The sequence below is a fragment of the Homo sapiens genome, chromosome 2 (genome assembly GCF_000001405.40).
Source record: "Homo sapiens chromosome 2, GRCh38.p14 Primary Assembly".
NCBI classification, from domain to species: domain Eukaryota; kingdom Metazoa; phylum Chordata; class Mammalia; order Primates; family Hominidae; genus Homo; species Homo sapiens.
In genome coordinates this window covers 237,054,614-237,080,797 of record NC_000002.12, presented here as the reverse complement: position 1 = coordinate 237,080,797, position 26,184 = coordinate 237,054,614, and the positions used below count along the sequence as shown (strand labels likewise).

The window sequence follows — 26,184 nt, the reverse complement described above, 5'->3', positions numbered from 1 at the left end:
AGAAAACTTAAAAGTTTCTGGAAATTATCTTAAAGGTATATAAAAAATGAAAAAAAAATTTATTCAATAAAATCTATCACAACTTGGTAAGAACAGAGAGAGTGTGTGGCATTTGAGCCATAATCTGCTCTTTCCAGCCCCGCACCTAGCTCAGCTTCATAGAAGCTCCACTGTGGGTGGATGTGGTCAAGAAGATGGGGCTCACTCTCCCTTCCTCTATCAAACAAGGGATAAGGTGTCTCACAAGAAGGCGAAGGTTGCAAGCATTTCTCATCCACTCCAACTCCAAGTTTAACGCTAAATTCTAGCTAACTGTGGCCAAGAGGCAGGAGGCTCCCTTCCTCCACCAAGCTCCCACTCATGGATGGAGACTATACACTAGGCATAACAGGTCTGGAATACAGGGGTCCTAATTGCCCTCACTCCAGCTTGCTTTCTGGGGTAAACATATATTCTGTGTCCAGTAGAAAAGCTGAGAAGATCAGAGGCTACCATTCCTGCCATGTGCCAGAGTAATGGCTCTGGCATCCAAAAACCAATCAGTGTAATAAGCCATATCAACAGAATAATGGATCAAAACACACGTTCATCTCAATAGATGCAGAATACATATATAAAACAAAATCCAACCTCCTTTTATAATAAAAACACTTACTGAACTAGGGAGAGAAGGGAACGTCTTCAAACTGACAAAAGACACCTATATAAAACCTGCAGTTAACATTACATTTAATGGTCAATGACTGATGGCTTTTCTCTATGATCAGGAGGAAGACAAGAATGTCAGCTTTTGCCATTTTTATTTAACAGTGTACTACAGGTTCTATCCAGTGCAATTAGGGAAGAAAAATAAATGGAAAGCATCCAAATTGGAAAGGAAGTAGTAAAGCTATATCTATTAAAGATGACATGATCTTGTATATAAGAAATTCATCAAAAAAGAAAAAAAAACAGGTAGAACTAATTGTGAAAGGAAAATAAATCTTGGTATCCTAAACTTACTAAGCCAAAGGGAAAAGTCAGGCTGGGAAGTGGGTCATGCAAGCCTGCCTCCCATTTTGGTTCCTAAATAAGATGGCTACACACGTGAAAAGCTACACACCTCCCCTGTGGGCCCCAAGATCTTTACCCTAAAGCATTTATGTTAAAGTTCACCATGGCAATGTAAATTAATAGCTTATCTTCACAGGTGCGGGGACATAGGGCATAACTCAAAGCGATCCCTCTGCCCACCTGAAACAAATGCATATCTGATTTTTTCCTCTCCCCTATCCTCTGTGTTATCTTAAGTAAAAATGCATATTCACAGAGCCAAAGACACGAATGACTCTTTTCCTCCCCCGCAACATGAAAATTGTGCATTTCTCAATATCCCACACTTTCCCCTTTAAACATTGAAGCTCTCAAAATCATCTCTCGAAAAAGGCATAGACATGTCTCCCAGGCACACCCTTAACTTTGGCAAATACACCTCCTTAAAATGATTGAGACTTGCTTTGGTCATTTTCCTTGATTGACATAGTATTGGGTCCAGCGAGGTTGCAGGATACAAAATCAACATGCAAATATCAATTTTATTTCTGTATATTAGCAATGAATAAGCCAAATATGAAATTAAGAAAACAATTTCACCTGTTATATTAGTCCATTCTCACACTACTATTAATATAAAGAACTACCCAAAACTGGGTAATTTATAAAGAGGTTTAAATGACTTAGTTCTGCACACCTGGGAGACCTCAGGAAACTTACAATCATGGTGGAAGGTGAAAAGGAAGCGCAGACCTTCACACGGCAGCGGGAAAGAGACAGCAAGAGCAAGAGCAGGGAAAACTGCCTCTAAAACCATCAGATGGCTGGGCACAGTGGCTCACACCTGTAATCCCAGCACTTTGGGAGGCTGAGGCCGGCAGATCACCTGAGGTCAGGAGTTCGAGAAAATCCTGGCCAACATGGCGAAACCCCTGTCTCTACTAAAAATACAAAAAAAATTAGCTGGGCGTGGTGGCACACGCCCGTATTCCCAGCTACTCGGGAGGCTGAGGCACCAGAATCACTTGAACCCGCGAGGCAGAGGTTGCAGTGCACTCCAGCCTGGGCAACAGAGTGAGACTCCTCAAAAAACAAACAAATAAAACAACAGCAAAAGAAAAACCATCAGATACCTTGAGAACTCACTCACTATCACAAGAACAGCATGGAGGTAACTGCCCCCATGATTCAGTTACCTCCCCCCAGGTCCCTCCCATGACACATGGGGATAATGGGAACTACAACTGAAGATGAGATTTGGGTGGGGAACACAGCCAAACCATATCACCTGTAATAGTATGAAAAAGAATAAAATACTTAGAAATAAATATAATAAAAGAAGTGTAAAACTTAAACTCTGAAAACTACTCAACAATGTTGAAGAAAATTAAAGACCTAGGTAAATGGAAGACATCCCTTGTTCATGGATTGGGAGACTTTATATTATGATTGCAATACTAAAATTCACAAGCTGATCCTAAAATTCATATACAAACTTAAGGAATGCAGAATACCCCAAAACAGTCTTGAAAACAAAGAACTATGAGGATTCATACTTTCTGATATCAAAACCTACTGTTAAGCTACAATAATAAACATTAGATAGACATTTCGGTAAATGGATAATAAGAGTAGACATAAAGATCAATTAAATAGAATTGAGGATGCAGAAATGAGCCCTTGCATTGATAGTCAATTGATTTTCAACCAGGGTATCAAGACCATTCAGTGGGGGAAAGAACAGTCTTCTCAACAAATGATGGTTGAACAACTGTATAGCTACATGCAGAAAAATGAAGTTGGACCTCTATCTCAGACCACCTACAAAAATTAACTCAAAATAGATCTAAGACGTAAGTGTGAGAGCTAAAACTATAGAAAAAAATAGGATAAATCTTTATGTCCAGGCATTGGGCACTGATTTCTTAGATATGACACCAAAAGCACAAGGAACAAAAGAAAAAAATCGATAAATTGGACATTATCATAATTAAACTTTTGTTCTTCGAAAGACACCATCAAAAAGTGAAAAGAACCAAGAATTGAAGAATATTTTTACAAGTCACATGCCAGATAAAAGACTTGAATTTAAAATATATTGATAATTCTTAAAACTCAAAAATAAAAAGGCAAATAACCTGATGTTAAGATGGAGTAAGGATTTGCTCAGATGTCTCTCCAAAGAAGACAGATGTTCAAAACACACGTGAAAAGATGTTCTACGTCATTAGTCATCAGGCAAATGCAAATCAAAATCACAGTGTGATAGCACTTCACACCTACTTGGGTGGTTATAATAAAAAGGCAGCAGCAAGTGTTGGTGAGGATTTGGAGAAACTAGAGCCCTTATGCCCTGCTGAAGGACTATACCATGGTGCTGCTTTGGAAAACAGTCTGGTAACTCCTCAGAAGTTTTCATAGAGTTGCCATATGTCCACTCGTAGGTGTATTCTGTAGGTATATTCCACTTTCATTCCAAGAGAAAGGAAAACGTATATCCCCACAAATGCTTGTAAGTGAATGTTCATAGCAAGCTTAATTCATAATAGCCAACAAGAAGAAAAAAACCAAATGTTCATCAACTGGCGATTGAATAAATAAAATGTGGTATATCGATGCAACAAAATATTATTCACCCGTAATGAGTAATGCTGTGCTGATACATTCTACAATATTGTTAAATCTTGAAAACATATATTAAGTGAAAGAAGATAGATGCACAAAGCCCGTATTGTATGATTTTATTTACATGAAGTGTCCAGGATAGCAAGTCCATAGAGAGAAGCAGATTGGTGGTTGCCATGGGCTGGGATGTTTGGGGGAAATAGGAAATTACTGCTAATGGATCTGGGGTTTCTTTTTGGGGTGATGAAAATATTATTATTGTTTTACAGTCTCACTCTGTTGCCCAGGCTGGAGTGCAGTGGCACTATCTCAGCTCACTGCAACCTCCACCTCCCTGGTTCAAGTGATTCTCGTGGCTCAGCCTCCCAAGTAGCTGGGATTATAGGCATGCACCACCATGCCTGGCTAATTTTTTGTATTTTTAGTAGAGACAGGGTTTCACGATGTTGCCCAGGCTGATCTGTAACTCCTGAGCTCAGGCAATCCGCCCACCTCAGCCTCCTAAAGTGATGAAAATATTTTAAACTTCTATTGTGGTGATGTTTGTACAATTGGAAGCTTTCAGTGGGTGAATTTTTGTAAGACAATTGGAGGGAATATTTAGTAGAGCCCAGCAAAGACTGCTTGGCTGGGACTCTGATCTTTCACTGAAGGGCCAGCCAGGCAGTGAGGGAGTGAGGAATCAATACTCAGAGGACCTTCCTACCATCTCTCCCTCTGACCTCCTGCGGGGGATCCCCATTGGCTGAGCCCAGCCGGAAGCCGAGGGCAGGAAGTCTGCAGCAGTTGCTTATACGGCTGGCCTTCTGAGGCATAATGGGGAGGAGAGCATGGAGAGTGGATGGGAGGGACAAATGGAAGACACTCAGCGCACCTAGTCTGGTGACTGTGTGGTTGGGGCCCCAGTGATGGTAGAGTGGCCTCTGTGCTGCAGGGCATGTGTCACCAAGCCCCGGAAGCCCCAGGCAGGAAGGTCACCTACAGAAGAGAGGAATGTGACATTAGCCCCTGCCAAACCCACAAGAAGAAAAGTAAACACAGATCATTTGCAGCCATGAAGTGTATCAGGTTTAGAGTCCAGCCAGGCAGGCAGGCAAGAGGTGGAGAGTTCATGGATATCAGTGAGAAAGATTTCCAGATGGTTCACCTGGCTGGAGGCCGCAGGACCTGAGGCTAGAAGATGGGCCCCAGGCGATGACGATGGCTCTGCCAAAAAGGGTCTGTGTCAGAGTTGCTGGAAAGCAGCTGCAGAAATAGGCCAGCCCTGAGCCAGCCCTCCTTGTGGCCAGGAGTCCTGGGCTTTCTGCTTAGGGTGGAAACCAACCCTGCCCCACAGCATGAGTGGCTGCCTCTTGGAGCAGGGGTCACTGGGGTGAGAACAGATAGGGAAAGAATGGGATGCATTTATTATTATTATTATTCCTGAGGCATTGAACATTCAGCAGACTAGAGGAGATTACTAATTCTGATGAGTTGTCCTCTGGAGGAACTGGAGTTTGGGGGATGCTGCCATTGGACCATTGCCATTGGACATTGATGTCCATGACCAGCGAATTTTCCAATGGATCTCTTGGCAATGTCATCCCCAGTGGCAGTAGATGCTACCCGTTTGGAAAGCCAGGTAACAATACACAATGAGGGCAATGAAACAGACTTAGCCTTGGACTTAGTGTTCTGGCTCTGGGAAGTTATCCTGAGGAAGTTATTAAAAAGAGGAAATAAGCTACAGCTAAAAATGGGACAGCAGCATAAAGTACAATAGCTATTAAATTCATAAATATGAAGTCTATGTAAAAGTAGTGTTTCTGAAATAACTTTGAAAAAACATGAAAAATAATATTGTGTATACCTCTTGGTTATTATATATCATAACCCAGACTAGATTTTTGGGGAAATGTTGAAAGGAAACATGCAAATGAACATTACGATAAGCTTAAAGAGCTAGATTATGGGTGAAAAGTATCTCCTTACAATATTATAAAATCAATGAAGATTTTGTTCTTCTAATCTTAGACAACTTTAACATTTCAAACTTTAAAAATAGGGCACTTTTCTTTCTTTTTTTTCTCCTCCTTTTTACTAATGCTTGTGTTGGCAAGTGAATAATAAAAGAGAACATTTTTGCAAAACTTCAGAAGGGCCCTGGAGCTAAGGGCAGATACATGTTAGGGGAAATTTGGAGGAATAAAGAAAAGCTGTGAAAAATGATGGCAGTGGTAGAGGCAAAGGCAAAGGGGTTATAAATAAAGCATGGAGGAAGAGCACAGGCAGGCAGCGACCTGAGAGCAGAGCGATGGTGCTTCTAGAGCAGGGTGGCTTCCAGGCACATGACATCATTGAAGGCCGCTCTCACACTCATTAGCTGTTTCCTGAGTCAGGACATATGTCGTGGCTAACGGCGTGAGTGGAAATATAGAACAGGTCATTATGCTTTTGATTTCTAGTTTTATTTTAATTCTGTGATCTCAATGAAGCTTGCTGTATTATGAGGACTGCACATAGCAGGCGTTGCATAAATGTTTGTTGAATGAATGCTAAGTGTGCTCACTTTTCTTTACTTTATTCCCTGAGCACAGGATCTCACCTTGCTTTTACCTTCCTTGTTTTCCATCCACTCTTGCTCTTTTCCTTTTGCCTTCTATGACTCAAGCAGTGGGATCCTGTATGATTCTGTTCTCACACTGCTATAAATACCTGAGACTGGGTGGTTTATTTTAAAAAAGAGGTTTAATTGGCTCACAGTTCCACAGGCTGTAGAGGAAGCATGATTCTGGCATCAGCTTGGCTTCTGGGGAAGCCTTAGGAAACTTACAATCATGGCAGAAGGCAAAGGGGGAACAGGTGTCTCTCATGGTGGGAGCAGGAGCAAGAGAGAGTGAAGAGATGCCACACACTTTTAAACACCCAGATCTCAGGAGAACTCACTCACTATCGCGAGAACACCACCAAGGCAATGGTGCTAAACCATTCATGAGAAATCCACCCCTGTGATCCAACCACCTCCCACCAGGCCCCACTTCCAACACTGGGGATTACAATCAGACATGAGATTTGGCGGGACAGATCCAAAGCATATCAGCTGGGCAGATGCTTTCAGCTCCCATGGCAATTCTGACAAAGAGGACAAAAGCATGTCCAGATGCTGCTCTCCCCTCATAACTTGCTCTCCTGGATCTCAGTTCAGGGGCCGGGCCAGGAGAGCCAGGGACAGGACAGCCATGTTGACCTCCAAGGAGTCCCCTTCTCTCTTTATAGTTGCCCTCCCCAGTATCATCTGTCTGCCTGAGACATCTGTTTTCTGTCCTGCAATACTTCCTACTTGTTTATGCTGATTACTTCTATCTTCCACATTCTTCCATGCCCACAGAATCACTCAGAACCCTATCCATTCCCACTGGGTTCAGGCTCTAGTACTCTTATCTCGTTCTCTCGGATTTTCTCCTGTTGTGTTAGGTCATTTCCTCCACGCCCAGCCTTTTTGCATAGTTTTCTTGTGTGCAGGCAGCTCTCTTCTAGTCAATCACAGCTGACTTTCCCGTGGAGCCTGGGCATGGCTTCAGAGTCCTCCCAACAAATAACTTCAGCCTGCTTCTACCAAAAGATCAGAGTGGGCGTGCAAGAAGAAACTTGTCGGCATTTCTGTGCTAAAATGAAGGCTGCTACCAAATTATTTGCCCCAGATTTCTTGTGGTTGCCACGTCCCGTGTGCTTGATCAGGGGCCCTAATCCTGAGCATTGCCCGTCCCTCCCCTCTCCTGCCTTCTGCTTACTCAGAGCTCTCCAACTCCAAGTACACTTTGCACCCAAGCCCGTCTGTATCACAGTGACCCCCCAAGCCTAATCCAGTTCTTATACTAGCGACACACATTGATTTCAAAGCTTGGAGCATCTCAGCGTAGCCTTATGTCAGAGTCACCAAAGTCACCTTAGGTTATTGGGAGCCTCCCGCCAGTGGACTTTTCCCACAGTGCCTAGCCCAGCCACCTTGAAAACAGTATGTGATCAGTAAGCTTTCTCAAAGGGATGACTTATACTTTCTTAGAAAAACTAGGCTTTGGAGTTGCTTAATGGAAAGTCAATATTCAGTGAGAAAAGAAACATAACAATGTTGGGAATCAAAAAGAATTAATCATGTATTTTGAGGGAACCAAGCAGAGACGGTCATGTTTTTCCTAGGCAGTTAATAGCGATGCGTTTGAGAGCCCAGGCTTGAGAATCCTGGCACTGACCGCGTGACCTTGAGCAAGGCCATAGCCCCTCTCCGAGTCTATGCCTGCACCTGTAAAACTATGGTTAACAGACAGGCTGCATGGTAAGGCTGTCTTAAGCATTGCGTTAGATTATTCTTGGCTCAGGACGTGGGCAAATAAATGGTGATTTTTGTTAATTATAGGAATGCTAGGTTGGGATGTCCCACGACCTTATTCACACAGGGTTTTAAGACATGTCTTTTTTACCTTTGATAGTGGAAATCAAGCATTATACTTAACTTGAGGGAATGCAGTCTTGGGAAATAATTTCCAATGTTCTTCCCTCCCAAGTAGAGGTGAGAGGGTAAAGCCAGACATGGATGTCTGGAGATCTTCAGTGCAATCTCAGTCTTTCCCACCAGGGGGCGCTGTGGCACCATGCAGGATCCTTAATTTCCCACTGGCTGAGGGAAAGCGGACAGGCCTTGGGTTGGGCCTAACTTTTCCTCCTCTCTTTATTTTTTCTTTCCCCAAAAATTACTTTTTAAGTGGCAGTCCCTTTAAGTGTGCTTTCGGGGAGTCCCTTTCCAGGTGCTGTATGTTTGTCTAAGTCTTGACAGGCTTCCTCGCGCTGCATCCCCTTCTTGGCTCCATCCTGAATCAGGTTGTCCAATCCGAGTGGACCTCGTCCTTGTCCGTGAGGCTGGGAGAAAGGTCGTGATCAGCCCGAAGCATCCGTGGAAAAACTGGATGAAGTTCCCGGGAGAGTAGGAGGGGAAGGTATCAGGAAGGCTTTCCTCTGGGCACCGCTAGGTCTTTGCGCTAGGAAGGGCGTTCTGCAGGGAGCACAGTCCGGTCCCTACAGAAACGCCAGGCGCTTCTACTGCAGGTTCCCGGGGAAATAGACTTTTTGTTCATCATAACTTTACACAGCGTTCATGGCCTTCTCAAAGGGGTGTGTGAGCCCCAGGGGTACTGAGTCCCTGGCCTCTATAGAAAACTTCCATGGCCATAGGAGGGGCCGACAGGAACCAGCTTGAGGCTGTTGCATGTCCTGGGAGGTACCTGTCTGATAAGAGTTGAGGATGCTTTTTAAACTGGATTCGGCTGGATTTGAATGACCATTTATTAAGCTACCTCATTTGATTCATCTGCAATACTCATGACACCAAATGAAGAACCGAGGTTCAGAGAAGTCAGATAACTAACCCAAGGTCACACAAGTCTCAGGGATTTAAACTCAGGGCTCTCTGACTCCAAAGCCCATGTTCTCAGCAGCACTGCACAGATTGAGGAGGCCCCACAGCACCAATGAGTGTTCACCCCAGTTATGTCCAAACTCCTGGGGATCAGTGCCAGAGACAGCCTGGAAATGGCTTTATACCCAGTCACAGCAGAATATCTGAGGCCACACTGTGAATCCATGTTCTTCCTGATAACCCTTTCAATTTCAAATGGACTCCACACTGGGATCCACTCTGCCTACTTCCCCATTCCAAGTTCTACTCATTCCCACCCAGGTCTGTTCTTCTCTTTCCAGGAGCCATTTTCTTATTAAGCACCTACTGAGTGCCAGACACTTCACTAAGTGCTGGGATACAGCGGCAAATACACTCAGCCCTCACACTAGAGTGAACCATATTGCCTTGAGGAATTCCTTTAGTTCTCTTGGGGTTTTCTAGAATTTACTAGTCTATTTCTTTATCAATTAAGATTACATATCAATCCCAAAACTTAGCAGATTAATACAACAGACATGGGTTATCTCATGCTTTTTGTGGCTCAGGAATCCTTGTGTAGCTTAGTTGTGTTCTCTCTATCAGGGTCACTCATGAGGCTGTGATTAAGGTGTTGTCTGGGGCTGTGGTCTCATCTCAAGGCTCAACTGGGGAAGGATCCCATTCCAAGATCACTTATATGGTTGTTGGTAGGATTCATTGTACCCTTCCCCAGCAGGATTTCTGCGATATTCTGGGGGAAGGGTACACAAAATGTTGCTGATGAAAAAGAGTCAAACTGTGTAAAATATTTGAAGCGATTCATTCTGAGCCAAATGTGAGGAATCATGACCTGTGACACAGCCCCAGGAGGTCCTGAGAACATGGGCCCAAAGTGGTTGGGTTTTATACATTTTAGAAAAACATAAGATATCGATCAATACAGGTAAGATATGCATTTGTTTGGTCTGGAAAGGTGGGACAACTCAAAGCACGGTGGGGGTGTGCTTATAGGTCATAGATAGATGAAAAGATTTTCTGATTGGCAATTGGTTATTATATTATCTAAAGACCTGGAATCAATAGAAAGCAGTATCCAGGTTAAGATAAGGAGCTGTGGAGATCAAGGTTCTTATTGTGGAGAATAGATGGTATATGTCTCTTATTAGGCCTTAAAAGGTGCAAACTCTTAGTTAATTCTCTCCTGGATCAGAAAAAGATCTGAAAAGGGGAGATGATTCTGTATAGAGTGTAGGTTTTCCCCACATGAGACAGCTTTCCAGGGCTATTAAAAATATGTCAAAGGAATATATTTTGGGGTAAAATGCTTTGATTTCTTTCAGTGCCTGCTATCTGTCATGTGATGGTACATTAGAGTCAGGTTATCTTATTGCTACAAAGAGTCTGTTTTGTCCATCTTTTTTTTTTTTTTTTTTTTTTTTGAGATGGAGTCTGGATCTGTCGCCCAGGCTGGAGTGCAGTGGCACAATCTCGGCTTACTGCAAACTCCGCCTCCCAGGTTCATGCCATTCTCTTGCCTTAGCCTCCCAAGTAGCTGGGACTACAGGCACCTGCCATCACGCCCAGCTAATTTTGTTTTTGTATTTTTAGTAGATGGGGTTTCACCATGTTAGCCAGGATGCTCTTGATCTCCTGACCTCATGATCCACCTGCCTTGGCCTCCCAAAGTGTTGGGATTACAGGTATGAGCCACCATGCCCGGCCCCTGTTTTGTCCATCTTAACATTCCTGTTCTAATGTTAATGCTGGCTAGTTGTGCCTGAATTCCAAAGGGAGGAGAATATAATTTGGCATGTCTGAACCCCCCTTCCCATTATGGCCTGAACCATTTATTCAGATTTACTTTGGTATGCCCTTAGCTGAGATGGGGATTCAATTCAGTCAGTTGGGGGGCTTAGAATTTTAGTTTTGGTTTACCAAGGTTTCAGCTGTGGTACATGGGTCATCATTGTCTTACTCTTTGAACTTTTTTGTGTATCTTTTAATATTTCATAATGAATGTTTTAAAATGAAAGTATTTTAAAAATAAACCTTACGGTATTTGTGCATGACTAGACAGACACATCAGTGGAATAGAATAGAAAGTCTAGAAATAACTCAAGTACATATGGAAATTTAATGTATGATAAAGATGACATTTCAAGTGCTGGAAAAGTGATTGGATTTTTGATAAATGACGCAGAGAAAATTAAATAAACATATCTCACATGATACACAATAAACTCTAAATGAATTAGAAATGTAAGTGTAAAAGATGACATCAAACAAGCACTCGGAGGCAACATGAGTGAATTCACCTATGGGGAAAAGCTTTTTCATTATGACTCAAAATCCAGATGAGATGCCAAGAAAGAAAAAACAAACAAAATTGGACATATAAACATTGCAAAGAAATTTATTGTCTTAGTTCATTTTCTGTTGTCTATAATGGAATACCTGAAACTGGGTAGTTTTTAAAGAAAAGAAATTTATTTCTTACAGTTATGGAGGCTGAGAAGTCAAAGGTCAAGGGGCTGCATCTTGTGAGGGCCTTCTTACTGTTGGGGACTCTCTGCAGAGGCCCAAGTTGGGGCAGGACATCACATAGTGATGGGGCTGAGTGTGCTAGCTCAGATTTTCCCTCTTCTTCTTGTAAAGTCACCATTTACCCATTAATCCATGAATGGATCAATCTATTTGAGAAGGAAGAGCCTTAATGACCTAATCATCTTTTAAAGGTCCCACTTCTCAATACTGCCATATTAGGGATTAAGTTTCAATATGAGTTTGGAAAGGACAAATATTCAAACCATAGCACCTATGTATACAAAAAAAATTGCCACAGCTACTGTTTTTAAAAACATAGTGGAAAGTAGCTGCAATGTATATCAGAGACACTGGGTTAATTGCACTAATAAATAAAGAATTCTTAAAGATTGGGGAAAGACAAGTGAGGAACTGCCATACTGATGATAGTATAGTTTTTGAAACTCTCTGAATTCCCCCATAAGAATAGACAGAAAACTAGATAGAGAATCAGAAAGCCATGGATGACATAAACAATAAAGCTAGGTCACAAGGCATTCTTAGGAACATCAAAATATAAGCAGATGGGAATAAACCATTAACAGCCTGAAGACTTGTAAGTTTGTGTGTTTGTGCAAGAAATAACATAAGAAAGCAACAGGACTGAGAAGGGGAGAACCCCAAGGTAGCCAAAAGGTTTTCACCATAAAGCATAGAAAGATGATTTGAGCACAGCCGCTGAAGCTGAGAGGGGCATTGCCAACTTTAGTAGCAATGATTGCAGTTGTCGCTGCTAAAGTTTGAAGGGACCAGAGCTGTCTAGACCCTGTTGACCCTCAAAATTACTTACAAGGGCTTTCTTCCAGGACAGGGCCCCATGCCCAGAAGAAACATCTAGGGGTGGAATAAACAGTTTGAAGAAAAGGGGCAGTTGAGAAACAGGAAAGAGAAGGTTCAGATACGGCTGGAAGAAGGAAACAGCCAGGAAATTTCTAAAGCCAAGCTGCATGTTTTTAAAACACACCACAAAAATACACAGCAGAGGGAGCTCTGTGGAGTCAGAAAAGCTGGTGAGCCATGATTCTTTCTAAATGATCAAGGAAACAACATCACATAAAAATGAACAACAGAAAGAGATTAATAGAAAATCCCATACAGATTCTATATAAAAAATTGAGGAAAATAGACCAAAAACCCACAAGAAAGATGGGCAAACACATGAACAGATTATCCCCCACCAGTGTACAAATGAATACATAAGAAAAAATGTTCATCTTTATCCATAACATAAAATAAAAGACTGAGATATTGGTTTTCACACATCAGATTGGCAAAAATTCAAAAGCTTGACCACAAGTTGCATTACTGTGGCTATGGGGACAAAGCTGCTCCCTTTCATCCTTGGGGGAGAGCAACATGGTACTATTCCATGAAGGGGAACTTGACACCATATAACCACCATATGCATGCCTTTCCTGTAAGAGGTTGAAGAGTGTTTCCCCCCAAATTCATGCTCACCTGGAACCTGTGAATGTAACCTCATTTAGTTATAGGGTCTTTGCAGAAGTAATCAAGTTAAGATGAGGTCATACTGAATTAGGGTGGATATTAAGCCCAATATGACTGGTGTTGTAAGAATTGAAAAACAGACACAGACACACAGGGAGATGTTCATATGATGATAGGGGCAGAGGATGGAGTGATGTGTCTACAAGCCAAGGAATGCCAGGGATTGCTGGCAACACCAGAAACTGGAACAGGCAAGGAAGGATTCTTCCCTGTAAACTTCCTGGAGAGTACAACTTGGCTGACTCCTTGATTTTGGAATTCTAGCCTCCAGAGCTGTGAGAGAGTAAGTTTCTGTTATTTTTAACCACAAAGCTTGTGGCACTCTGTTACGGCAGTCTCAGGTAACAGATACATTTATCCTTTGGCCCAACAAACCTCTTCTACAAAATAGCATTCACAATTGTATTCACTAAGGCATTATATGTAATTGAAAACAGCCTAAATACTGAGACATAGAAGATTGGCTGAACTATGGCACACTCTCTCAATAGAGTGCTATATAGCTTTAAAAAGGAGTGAATAATATCATCATCAGCTGTGAAAAATTGACTCCAAAGATGGTGCCCTATGCACGTGCAGCCAATCACATCAAGAGCCTGAGCTGACCTTGCATTTTACTTTTCCCAGTAGAACATAGAAGTGAATTCAGTTCTTTAAGAAAACTAGTCTCTAAAAGGACTGACAACTTCTACCTTCTCTCTCAGATATTATATGAAAGATGAGGAAAGATATGGAATATGGCCAGTGCATCTGTAGGGGTGGAGAGAAAGCATTCCTTCCACCCTCTCTGAAGTTTCACTGAAGTGACTGACAATAGACAGATTCATAGGAGAAAAATGGCTTACACATTTATTAAGGTGCATATGGCCATGGGAGTCCTACAAATAGGAGACTCAAAGAAGGGCCAGATGGTTGAGGCTTATATATCCTCTTCATAGGAGACAGGGAAGTGGGGGACTGTAGGAAATTTTAGAGGGGTAGTAAATGATTTCTAAGGAAAATGAGTGAGCCCAAAGAATAGATAATAGCCTGGGACAAAGTTCCTCTGAGTTCTGGGGCAGGTGGCAGGAGGGTGAGGGGCAGAACTACGCTGTGAACAAAGGTTGTCTTCTTATGCAGGTAAAGTCTCCCAGGTCATCTCTTGGAGCTGTCCTCAGACGAATAGGTGAAAAGTCTGTCTGGCATGGTGATGATTCCCAGTCTTTTCTCTTCTCCAGTAGTTAATCTTTCCTGGTTATTTGATGAGATTCCTAGGAAGAGTGTCTTAAGACAATTACATCTCTAGCCAGGCGCAGTGGTAAAACTTAGATAAAGAAATTGCAGAAAGAGTCCTTGCTGGTACTTCAGGAAAGAAAGAGGATCAGATAGACTAGACAGGGGGTTGAAAGGAGACTGGAGAAAGACCTTAGTTCTAAAGCTTATTTTTGAGGCCTTTTAATTTCCTTTAACTCAAAAACCCTCAGCATACCAAAGTGCCATATTTTGGGGTACTGTTTTCTGAGCCTCAACTCATGCAAGAATGTCTTGAGGTATCATGGTCAAGGACATTGAAATAATGGTCTCTTTGGCAAGTGTAACCCTGAGGGAAGACAGAAAAGCCCCTGACTCTCCTGGCCAGGGGTAAGGAATGTGGTGGGGGCCTTTAAGATCATGTAAGTCCTGGCAGGGCATGGTGGCTCATGCCTATAATCCGAGCACTTTGGGAGGCCAAGGTGGGAGGATCATGAGGTCAGGAGACTGAGACCATCCTGGCCAACATGGTGAAACCCTGTCTCTTCTAAAAATACAAAAATTAGCTGGGCATGGTGGTGCGTGCCTGTAGTCCCAGCTACTTAGGAGGCTGAGGCAGGAGAATCGCTTGAACCCAGGAGGTGGAAGCTGCAGTGAGCTGAGATCACACCACTGCACTCCAGCCTGGGTGACAGAGCAAGACTCCATCTCAAAACAAAACAAAACAAAACAAAACAAAAAACATCATGTAAGTCCTTCATTCCCACTCTGTACCACCCACAATGACCTTCTGGTTGGAAGTTGGTTCTCAGGAGGGCATCCACAGGCAGGAATGGACTGGTGGGAGGTGTCTGGTTAATCTGAGAACTGACCTGTGTCTTCAGCTGCCACCATCTGCTGAGGTTCTGTCCCGAGGCTCTCTGGAGGGCCCTGTCACACCCAGCCCTCCAGCCTGTGAAGTCAAGGTGCATTTCGTTTTCCTTCCCAGAAGGCTCAAATCCACATGATTTGAATTCTTTGAAGAGTTCAATCATTGGTGAACATAATTTGGGTGGATAGTAAAACGTCGTACCCTTGCCCAAAGGAAGAGGAAAGTGCTCATGTTTTTACAAACATAATAATTTCCTTTTGGAGCTACTTATTTTGCAATAGTCTATAAGCAGAACTTTGTGTTAAATGACTTTTCTGATATCCACCAGCAAATCCTGTGGCCCACTCACACACATGCCAGCTTAGATGACTGTTGATACAATGTTTTCACTTCCCTATCAAGGGGACAAACCAGGGTGAAGTTCTGAAATTTGAGATGATTGATAACATAGCTCTGGTAAAACAGATGGTCTTCAATGGAATATGATACTGATATTAATTATGGGATGGGAAAATAAAGTTCTTTACAGAAAGTGAGTAGGCCAAAGTGGCATTATGCATACAATTATAGGATTTTGATGATTTTGCTGTTTTGTTAAATAGCAATCTCACTGCAGAATTTAAATGTAATTGCTCCTATCATAGAGCCCTGTTCTCCTAAAGGGAGGTCAGTTGCTGGTTTGTGTAATAAGGATTCTGGTTGGCCTTTGTGGCAGGTTCCTCAAAAGAACCTCTAAAGCTTAGGATTACCTCGCCCGGTAATCTAATCTGCTTTCTTTCTGTCAGTGGAGCTGGAAGGAACCGAGAGGCCGGTGAGACATTAGCCCGGCCTTGAAGACATCGGCTCCACCGAGCAGCAAGCAGGCCCCAGTGGTCTCTGCTCTGCCTGGAGGGGGACAAGGGTGGGGATGCATTTTGGGGCTGAAGCTTACACCCCAGTGCTTCCCTGAGAAGCCCCGATGCTATGGGCCAAGATAGGGTCCCGGCTGCAGGCAGGCTTCCTGCGTGGGCTCACGTGAAGTCACACAGCTGGTGTCTCGTTGTCCATTGTTGACCCAGTTTCCTCGAGGTTGGCTCCCTCTCAGACAGGCCCTCCGCCCGGTACTGCGGCAGCGATAGCCTCGCATCGTCTCAGGCTAGTCCAGCAGGAAGAAGGGAGACTCTCTTTTTGGGGAGTCCCAGCCCCGGCAGTGTCATGTGCCCACGTGGACCAATCACTGTGGAGACGGTAGTGAGATGCTCTGATTGGCTTAGACCCAGGTCATGTAATGGACCCTGCCCAGAGTCCCCGGACTTAGAGGCAGGGCGGAGTGCTTTCCCAACTTAAGTGTGGATGGAGTTACCAGGCGAATCCGTCGTAGGCGTCAAGATCAGCGGATGGCAACCAACATTTGTAGAGTGGTCACTGCCTGCAGTAGGGATAATGATGTCCAACCTCCAAGTTGTTGAGCGAGTTCAATGAATTAATACATGTAAAGTAGTTAGAACAGTGCCTGGTGCACAGCAAGCTCTCAGCAAATGTCCACTGTTTGCCAAGCAGCAGTCTCAGCTCCTCTTGCACCATATTACTTCATCCTTATGGCAGCCCCATCAAGTGAGTGCTGTTTTCTCCACTTTACAAATGAGGAAACCAAGGCTCAGAGGGGTTAGGTAACTTACCTGAGGTCACACAGCTAGTGAGAGATGGAGTCAAGATTTCAACCAGGACAGTTTGACCTCAGAGTGTGGGTGCTTAATTCTTCCACAATGCTACTGCAAGAGGGATGCCCGTTCTGTATACATGCCCGTTCTATATATTAGAGCCAATGGCAGTAGGCTGGAGGGAAGTGTATTTAAAGCACCCCATAATATAATAGTATAAATAGGATTCTCCCAGTGGTCAATTTTCATCCTGGTTTTAATTTGGAAACCCTTTAAAACTACATTAATGCTTTTCAGATACAATTCTGAAACATGAGGACTAGCAATACCTGTCATCCCAGCAGCCAGAAAGAGTTAATGTAGCTTCCAAGGCTTTGTAACTTACAACGAGGGAGGAACTTACATGCTGGGAAAGTGTAATTCAGTGAATAATGGGAATCTGGATTAATTCCCAAATAAAGTTGTTATCATAAGAATTTATGAAGAGGGAAAAAAGAAATTTAGCAGAATCTCCAGGGGCAGATATTAGACATGAAAATCAAACTTTGCAGTGCTTTAAATGTTATTTATCACGTCTTTTTCTTTTCTGTGTCCGGCATCTGGAGCCCCAGGCCTGTGATCATATTGTTTTAAATGGACAGGATCACAAGTGGCTGCTCTCACGTGGAAGTAAGGGCAGGGAAAGACAAATGAGGCACAGATGAGACACGAATGTGTTCTGTGTTTGTGAACACAGAACACAGGATGTAGGTGGTATGCCCAGCTCAAGTTCAGCACTGAAAACCCTTTTCTGGGAGCTTAACATCAGGATTTTTTCATTAAGTCAATCAGAGGATACTGGGAAGTTAAACAAAGTAGTCCTTTCCCCCCTTTATCTACTTGTATCCCAGGATCAGTGGGGCTTAACTGTGTGTGAATTGGGGTGATGAGGTGTCAGCTTTTGTTCATCCCCTGCAGGGGTCCTGGTCAACTTCTAGGAGAAACCTTCAGCCAAGGGACATGGGGAGCTGCTTCCCATCTAAACAGAAGCCAAGCCAAAACAACTGCCATTGTGAGCTCAGCCGGGGTCAGCGTGTGCCATGCTGTCATTGCGTGGGGTTTCAGGGAGGCCTCTAATGACACCAGTAATTCCTTCCAGCAGGTTGCAAATCCTGAGATTCCTTCAAAACTAGTCCATTGGAGGCCAGGCGTGGTGACTCATGCCTGTAATCCCAACACTTTGGGAGGCTGAGGTGGGTGGGTCACATGAGGCCAGGAGCTTGAGACCAGCCTCACCAACAAGGTGAAACCAGGTCTCTACTAAAAGTACAAAAATTAGTGGGACATGGTGGTGCACGTCTGTAATCCCAGGGAACCCAGGGAACTAAGTTCAGCCAGCAACCTAGCAGAGCAGGGACGGGCCTTCCCCAGAGCTCCAGGAATGGATGCAACTTGCCAATACTTAGATTTTAGTCCAAAGAGATCTGTACTGAACTACCGACCTGCAGAACAGATCACAAACTTAGGCTGTTTTAATCCACAACGTTTATGGCAATTAGTTACAGCAATCAAAGATTCACACTGGGGTACAGAGGAAAGCTGTGCCTGCCTCAAAGTGGCCCCATAGCCTGAGCCCTGTGGTGACAGGGCTTTGGGCAGAGCATGATGCAGCAGTTTTTGGGTGTGCCCAGGTTCCCAGGTATGATGCCCAGTGGGTGACAGGGCGTTTTGCCTACCTTGGTACGGAGCGCAGCCTGGCCACAGCAAGGACAGGTGCTCAACACCATGGGGTCCTCAGGAGTCTGCCCCGAGTGTTCTCCCAGAGGGCATCTGCAGCCATGGTGGAAGGGGGTGCAGCCCTCCTCAGCTCTGTGACCAGCAGGTGGTAACAAAGAGAGCTCAAGAAAAGATGCTCAGAGATGCACAAATCTAACTGTGGGCCTTGGCAGGGCAGCTTCGCTGCTGCTTTACATGGAAGGAGTTAGAAGCTAGTAGAACTTGAATATCTACAGCAAGCTGATCATGTTAGGGAAATTCAAGATAAACAAGCACATTTTCAACCTCTGTGAGCCTTGGTATCCTCATCTGTACAATGGGAAAAATAATAGTTCCCAAAGAGTTATTATGAGAATGAATTAAACACCATGAGCCCAGGTGCCTGCCTATACCCGGTGCATGGAGCCACTTTGTTCCGGTTCCTTCCTCCATCTCCCCATCTTGTCTCTGACTGTGGTTTATTCTGGGATGACACCCCGGCTGTACCTGTTTGCTTCAGACCTTGGCAGGGCTTATCATGGCACTTCACGAGGCACCTTTGTTTGTCCAATGTGGAGCTATGCCAGCATCTGCAGTTGCCTTGGCTGAGATGCCTCCACTGCTCCCGGGTGCAGGATGGGTCCTCATGTGGAGGGATGCGGAGTTTCCTGGTGGGTGGGGCAGCGCTTTCCGTGCTCCAGGTGTTTGTGGTTGAAGTCGACTGTGATTATAGACTAGGGGTGGTGGGCTGCTGGGAGGGTTCCTGTTCTGGGGATTGCCCAGACCCACTACGTTACGCCGAAAAAATCCCAGCAAGTTGCTGAAGGGGGGTGTAGGAGTGAGGAGAGAGAGATTTTGAGCAAAATGGGCATGTGGAGGGACTGTGTGTGTGGGCGCTGTGTAGGGCAATGGTCCCCCGGGGGTGGCCCCAGACAGACCGTGTGGGTGGCACATCAGCTGTAATGGGACACCTGGGCCTTGGGCTCAGGCTAGCAACTTAATGTTCAGTCTTAATTCCAGAAAGTGGGACGAGCCTACTGGGGCAAGCCTGAGATGGGTCTGAGCCCTCGAGTGGGAAGGGTCTGGTAGGGTGGGAAGAAGGCAGGATGGGCTTGGGAGGAGAGGCCAGCCCGAGTGTGATAACCAGGTTTCAGCAAGCACGGGGACCCTGACATTGTGTTCTTGGGAAATGCAAAAGGCAGACCACAAGGTGGTGCTCACTACAAAAGAATTCCAGGACCAGGCAAAACCCGGAGAGTGCCAGCTTTTTATTCACCCCGGATTTTCGAAAACAGCAATATGGACAAAAGATATTTGAGGCTCTCCTGGGCATGCTTTCCCTTTTCTTCTTTTATGTTGTTTTTCTAGTTTGTTTCAGGCAATCTCGCCCTGCATTATTGGAAAGTCTTGTTCAGAACAGTTGGTGTCTTCACAGTGACCGCAAGCACTAATGAATACACACACACACATACACACACCCTGCGATAGGTGGCTTTCTAGATCGATACCCCCACCCCAGGGCACTGAGAGGGGTAAAGTCAGAGCCGGGCAGGGTGTCCTTCAGGATGTGACCCTGTGATTTTGTCCTCTTCCTGAAATTCTCAGGATAGGGAGGATTTCAGTTTGATGCAAATACTCTATTTCTATAACACATATTTTTGCTTTTTTGTACCACACAATCCTCCATCGTCTCTCACTTTCCCCACACACCATTACATGTGTCATTAACTCTCAAGGTCCTGCCAAGACAAGCAGCTCCCCTTCAGCTGTTGAGAGCGATATGGGACTCACCCTGCCCAGCGCATTGCCGTGAGGTGAAGCCCGGGGGACGGGGGCAGAGGTGTGCTGGGAAGGAGCCCAGACCTTGTTAACTTTGCATACAAGAGTGTTTTGTATCCATGTGGAAACTCACATAAGCAGCAACTTATCATAGTTTTTTCCTTCTTATGTCTCTTGGTGTATTGTATATGTGTGAATGTGTGTAAATAAAATGTTAATTTCAGTGCAGTCTGAGATACCCTCACTGAATCCTACCCACCTCTCCCAGCCAGGCTGATTCAAGGGGGCCCTGCCCCGCATCCTTCCTGCTCTACCGGCCATCGCGACGCCACCTTCCATGAGCTCCATTTCCAGGACTGGCCCATCTGGGCATCACAGTCCCAACCACAATGCGTGTTTGGTCCTTGGGGCTTCCTGGATAACTTGGAGCTTTGTGAGAACTCCAAAAGGATTTCTTCTGAAGAACCAAACCCATGTTTCATAGGCGACACGCAGTTTGCTCCTTTCAACATGCACACAAAACACACATGCATGAAACAGCAAATGAGAGCAGCCTCGGCATGATCTGAGAGTCTGCCAGTCCCTTCCTCACCAGAGCAGGGCTCAGAACCATACTCCTCACATCCTCGGATTCTGGGGTGCAGCCCTCAGGGACAGCTTGGGGCTGAGGCCAGAACACAGTTGGCAGGGCCCAGAGCTTCTCCCCTGACCCCACCTAGCACGTGGCTCAGAGCCAGTGGGGCTGGCCAAGGGTTGCTTTTCCAGTATGGTTTGCTCATTTTCTTTTGCTGCTCTTGTTCTCGCTCTCACCTGTACTCTCTGCTCTGTCCCTGCTCCTCAAGGGTTTCAAGATCAAGATGCTTATTGTCGAGAACTGTCTTCCTTTCAAAAATGGCTTACAGTTCTGGCCTCCAAATGCAGGATTTTAGCTACACTGCCACATCATTCAACATTTAAAAAACAAAACAAAAATAGTTCACATTATTATAATTTTTCCATTTGCTAATGGGCAAATGAGGAGGGTCGAAAGTGCAACTGCCTGCAGAACACCTTGACAAAATCTGCAGAGAAAAGGTTTCATTTCTGTTTTTAGTCAGGAACTAGAAAATGCTGTGCCTCATGACTCCTGTAGACGCTCCTTCACCACTGAGCTGGGCTTCGCTTTATAGTGGGCTCATGGGTTCCATTTAAAATATTAACCCTCAGCAGAAACTCAAATTTCAGGTGGATTTAGAGTTTCCTACGGCTGTTGCTTCACATGTCATCTGGAGAAGGCCCCCTGTGCAGTCTTTGCAACTTTCCACAGATAAAGGTGAAAATAATGCAAGAGGAAAACAGATGACGGCCTTTCCCTAAGGCAGAAACTGGGAAGAAGGGAAGCCTGAGAGGAGCAAAAGGACCTGATGCCATGAGTGGCCTCAGTGTGAAATGCGGAGGGCCTCAGTTTGTGTCCCAGCACAGAGACTCTCTACACAAGGTTTTGTTCTTGTTTGTGTTTTTAACTTTTCTCCCATCCCCTGACGGAGACACCTGTGCCTGAGCTCCAGGGGAACTCGGCAGCGCCCATGCTCCATTCCTTGGATGCTTCTGTGAGTTGAGCAGAAAGACTTTCTTCTCATTTCTATCAATCACCTTTCTTTGCTCTCAGCCCACTCACTTCCCCATCTTCTACACCTCACGGAAGCAGGAAGGAGGGGCTGCCGAGGACCCCAGGAATGCGGCCCCAGGAGTCACCATGCAGATGAAGAAGGGAGGCGCCCTCATATTCGGGCAGCCTGGGAACTGGGATGTGTTCCATGCAGTGACAGCTCCCAGCGCTCTGAAGCCATGACAGCGGAGGAGGCAAGGCAAGACCCCTCCTGCAGAACAGCCACCTGCAGGGGAGATCTGGCGAGGAGTAAGAATCGGGTAGATTTACGCCAGGTCCCCTAAGAGCGGTGCAAAGAAATGGATCAAATAGGCAAGCATTTCATCAGGGAAAATGCCTAAGAGAAATGCGGGGGGAAGCTGGGTGCAACTGGAATAGCCTTCAGACTGTGGTGTGAGTCTGACCCCAGTGAAGGAAAGAGGAGGGATGGCTGCGAGGAGGTGGCCCCAGGAAAGTTCTGCAAAGCCACCGGGCATCCTCAACCCTGAACCAGAGGACTCAGCCCAACCTCTCCCCAGAGTGGACCTGCACTGCCTTGCTCAGACACTGGCTGGGAGCAGCCTGTGAGAAATGTGGCTGCATGCAAATATTTAACCGTCAACAAGCCACAGCTGAGGAAACATGGCCACACAACCGTATTAGTCCATTCTCGCACTGTTACAAAAAATACCTGAGACTGGGTAATGTATGAAGGAAAGAGGTTGAATTGGCTCACAGTTCCACAGGCTGTACAGGAAGCGTGGCAACATCTACTTCTGGGGTGACCTGTGGGAGTTTTTACTCATGGTGGGGGCAATGAGGGAGCAGGCATTTCACCTGGCAGGAGCAGGAGGAAGAGAGAGGGGGGAGGTACCACACTTTTTTTTTTTTTTGAAAAGAAGACTTGCTCTTTCGCCCAGGCTGGAGTGCAGTGGCATGATCTCACCTCACTGCAACCATTGCCTTCTGGATTCAAGCGATTCTCCTGCCTCAGCCTTCCGAGTAGCTGGGATTACAGGCACGTGCCACTAAGCCCGGCTAATTCTTTTATTTTTAATAGAGATGGGGTTTCATCATGTTGGCTAGGCTGGTTTCAAACTCCTGACCACAAGTGATCCACCCACCTCGGCCTCCCAAAGTGTTGGGATTACAGGTGTGAGCCACTGCTCCCAGCCTGCACACTTTTATACAACCAGATCTTGTGAAAACTCTTGTCACTATACAGTACCAAGGGGAGATGGTGGTAAACCATTCATGAGAACTCTGCCTCCATGATCCAGTCATCTCCCCCAGGTCCTCCCTGACACTGGGGATTACAATTCAACATGAGATTTGGGAAGGGACACGAGGCAAATCATATCAACAACCATTTGGAAAGTCATATGCAATGGGAGAGAGAAATCATGGGAAATAATATAAAATGAATTCTTTTCAGCAACGAAATCTGCTGACATCAAGATAAATACATATATACATGCATATATACACACACGCATATATTTAATATGAAGTCTGCTTCAAACTCAAACAATAGAGAGATGGATTTATGCATATCTGAAAATGAGCACTATACCTCTATTAAATAGGTAATATTGAAAAATACCCGATGGCATAGAATAATGTTCTGAAATGAAAATAACGGGTGAAAAGCAGTAAATACAAAGTAAAATGTCATGTTTCATAAAACTTCTTACCAGTGGTTCTCTCTGTGTGATGGGATTACAGATGATTTTTGTTTTTTACTATTTTCTTACAAAAAGATCACATGTCGTTTTGTACCTTCAAGAGATTTTAAGAGCACCATCGCATGCGTCTGGCTCTCCTAGTATGTCAAGGTGCCTGCCTCTCATCTGTGGGGTTGCAGGTCGGCACCGCTGGGGGAGTGGAGAGTCTGTGCTCCTTCTGTACGCTGCTGCCTCTGCTGCAATGAAGTTTATGAGGGAGCCTCCAGCCACTGGGGACTGGGGTCTTATTGTCCCTCTGCTCGTCCTCTAGTCAGAACTGAGTGCCCCCGGAATTGACATCTCCCAGGGATGGGGTTGAGAGTGCCGGGAGGCAGGATATGCCAGCCTGAGTTCACAGCCCTTGCTGGCCCCTCTGGGTAGGGGCTGAGCTGGGCTTCATGTTATCCACCTCGGGGGTCAACCAGTGCTGCCCCCAGCATGGTTTGCAGCAATCCCCTTCTGCTTGTCAAATCTCCAATAGCCCCCTCCCTCTGCAGGCTGCCCAGCGCCAGAAAACACGCTGGGCAGGTTCTCCCAGGTTGTACTCCAGGCTGAGCACAGATGCATGTGGCGTCCCCACTGCCAGCACTGTTAATTAAGCCATGTCCAAGGACCCACAACACCACACAACACCTAGGTATTAAGCAGACCCATTGGAATGTAACTCCAGTGAATGCATTCCCGTCCTGTTACATGACTCCGTGAGGTTCTATACGCAAAGACCCTAATCTGTTAACTACTCTTTGGGGCTATAACGTAATCTCCCTGCCAGTGATCTGGATTTTTAAAAAAATGGATTATTCATCTCTAAGGTTTTTGGCCCCTGTCTTTTCTGACCATAGGGGGAAAATGTCTGGCAGAAGCAAGCCTTGGCTGGCCATGTGCACCTCATTCCATGCCATTCCAACAGTTGCTGTGCTCCCAGGCTTATATAAGAAGAACCAGTTTTCCCACTTCATGATTTTGCAGCTTAATGGGATGGATATGGTATGGCTTACTTAGAGGCCTGGTCTCATTTTGACAGTCTTTTGTGCACTTTACATATTCCAGGCACTTTCATTATTACTGGAAAAGTGAAAGTGGACATTGGCAATGGGTTGGCCTCCACAAAAAGCCATGAGAATCAAACTGTATAAACCAAGCTAGGAACGCCCAGCCAAGTTTATTCTAAAGCATTACCTCATATTGCTGGACAGCTGTCTTTTGGCTAAAACTGGGGAAAATGTCAATTCAATTCCTATTTTAGGGGTCAGAGTTATAGAACATTAATGAAAGCACTGAGCTGTACTTACTGTATCCATCAACAGGAAGAGAATAACTTAGCTTCTAGACAGGCACAATCGCAGACGTACACAGAGGCTGGAAGACGGTGCACACCATTGAGATACGTGTCTCATCCAGCCCGCCACATGCAGCCGGAACCAGGCCACCGCCTGGGTGTCCCTTGTGTCCTGTCCTCCTACCTCTTCTCTCTGGTCCCCACATTCCTTCCAGAGTTTCTCATACATGGATTGCTCCCAGGCTCCCTTCCATTGGGGGCCAGAGGTTCTCACAGAGCACAGAGAAGGGGACCATTCGCCCCTGGGACCATCAGGGGAATGATCTAGAAGTCAAGCAAATGTTCTAGCCCTTCAGGGTCTTCAAGGTGAGTCGCTTGGGGTGAACGAAACATTTCTCATGCGCACAATGGCTCTCTCATAATGATGAGGCTGCATCCTGCCTGCTAAGTCTCCCTTTCTTTACTCTTTGTTACTGAAGATCTTCCTACCGGGAATGAGAGAGTGAAGGGAACAAAAGTTTAGCTGAGAAAACACGTCCCTTCATCCACCTCATATCCCCACTGTGATTGCACGCACCACCCCCATCTCTAGCCTCACTTTTTTCTCAGCCGACTTGTACCCGACTGTTCTAGGGAGATTACGGGGGAAGAAGGCTGAGGTAGAGAGCAGGGCCTCTATACATTTAAGCTCATAGAGATACAGAGCATATGAAGATATGGGAATTCAGAAGAGTTCCGTCCAACAGAAATGTAATGTAAGTCACATAGTAACTTTGAGTTTTCCATTAGCTGTATTCAAAACAGAAAATATAAAACAGGCAAAATGTATTTAAATACTATAACTTATTTAACCCAATATATCCAAAATGTTATCATTTTGTCATGTTACCAATTACATGATGAGCTTATTAATGATCTTTTATAGTTTTCGTACCAAATCTTTAGTGTGTATTTTCTACTTATTTTACATCTCAAGGCAGATGCTAAATTTTCATCAGAACTACTTGATCTGTATTTAAATTTCATAAGCTTTGCAGTTAAAAACTCAGATTCACACACCTAAGTGTCTCCAAAGATACTTCAAAGTTTTCCAATAACTGAATCAAGTCCCAGTTTTAATTTACAATTAAAGTAAAATAAA

At 44.8% G+C, this 26,184-nt stretch overlaps 3 long non-coding RNA genes across 10 annotated transcripts in view, besides 4 other annotated features; 2 read left to right on the top strand and 1 right to left on the bottom strand.

Annotated features, from left to right (window-relative positions):
* COPS8-DT (COPS8 divergent transcript) overlaps positions 1–26,184 on the top strand; it is a 175,051-nt gene that overhangs the window by 5,024 nt on the left and 143,843 nt on the right. The gene's annotated exons all lie outside the window — the stretch shown is intronic.
* Positions 4,599–5,168: an enhancer, noted in NCBI's record as "H3K27ac-H3K4me1 hESC enhancer chr2:237984273-237984842 (GRCh37/hg19 assembly coordinates)". NCBI's record gives its function as "activates a minimal SCP1, AML or CMV promoter by ChIP-STARR-seq in naive H9 embryonic stem cells {active_cell/tissue: H9 hESC(naive)}" and the evidence as "EXISTENCE:reporter gene assay evidence [ECO:0000049][PMID:30033119]".
* LOC105373950 (uncharacterized) overlaps positions 13,982–26,184 on the bottom strand; it is a 30,143-nt gene continuing 17,940 nt past the window's right edge. The window contains exons 1-3 of the long non-coding RNA XR_007088140.1: positions 16,010–26,184; positions 15,262–15,341; positions 13,982–14,409 (exon numbers count right to left, since the gene is read on the bottom strand). The exon at positions 16,010–26,184 is cut by the window's right edge and continues 17,940 nt beyond it. This is a non-coding gene — a long non-coding RNA (uncharacterized LOC105373950). The remainder of the gene's footprint in view (positions 14,410–15,261; positions 15,342–16,009) is intronic.
* Positions 19,721–19,770: an enhancer, noted in NCBI's record as "active region_17364". NCBI's record gives its function as "activates an Ori minimal core promoter by ATAC-STARR-seq in GM12878 lymphoblastoid cells {active_cell/tissue: GM12878}" and the evidence as "EXISTENCE:reporter gene assay evidence [ECO:0000049][PMID:35858748]".
* Positions 21,308–21,417: an enhancer, noted in NCBI's record as "active region_17363". NCBI's record gives its function as "activates an Ori minimal core promoter by ATAC-STARR-seq in GM12878 lymphoblastoid cells {active_cell/tissue: GM12878}" and the evidence as "EXISTENCE:reporter gene assay evidence [ECO:0000049][PMID:35858748]".
* Positions 23,693–24,192: an enhancer, noted in NCBI's record as "H3K4me1 hESC enhancer chr2:237965249-237965748 (GRCh37/hg19 assembly coordinates)". NCBI's record gives its function as "activates a minimal SCP1, AML or CMV promoter by ChIP-STARR-seq in primed H9 embryonic stem cells {active_cell/tissue: H9 hESC(primed)}" and the evidence as "EXISTENCE:reporter gene assay evidence [ECO:0000049][PMID:30033119]".
* The window catches only part of LOC93463 (uncharacterized), a 7,569-nt gene continuing 6,015 nt past the window's right edge, over positions 24,631–26,184 (top strand). The window contains exons 1-3 of the long non-coding RNA NR_135202.1: positions 24,631–24,751; positions 25,072–25,409; positions 25,677–25,798. This is a non-coding gene — a long non-coding RNA (uncharacterized LOC93463). The remainder of the gene's footprint in view (positions 24,752–25,071; positions 25,410–25,676; positions 25,799–26,184) is intronic.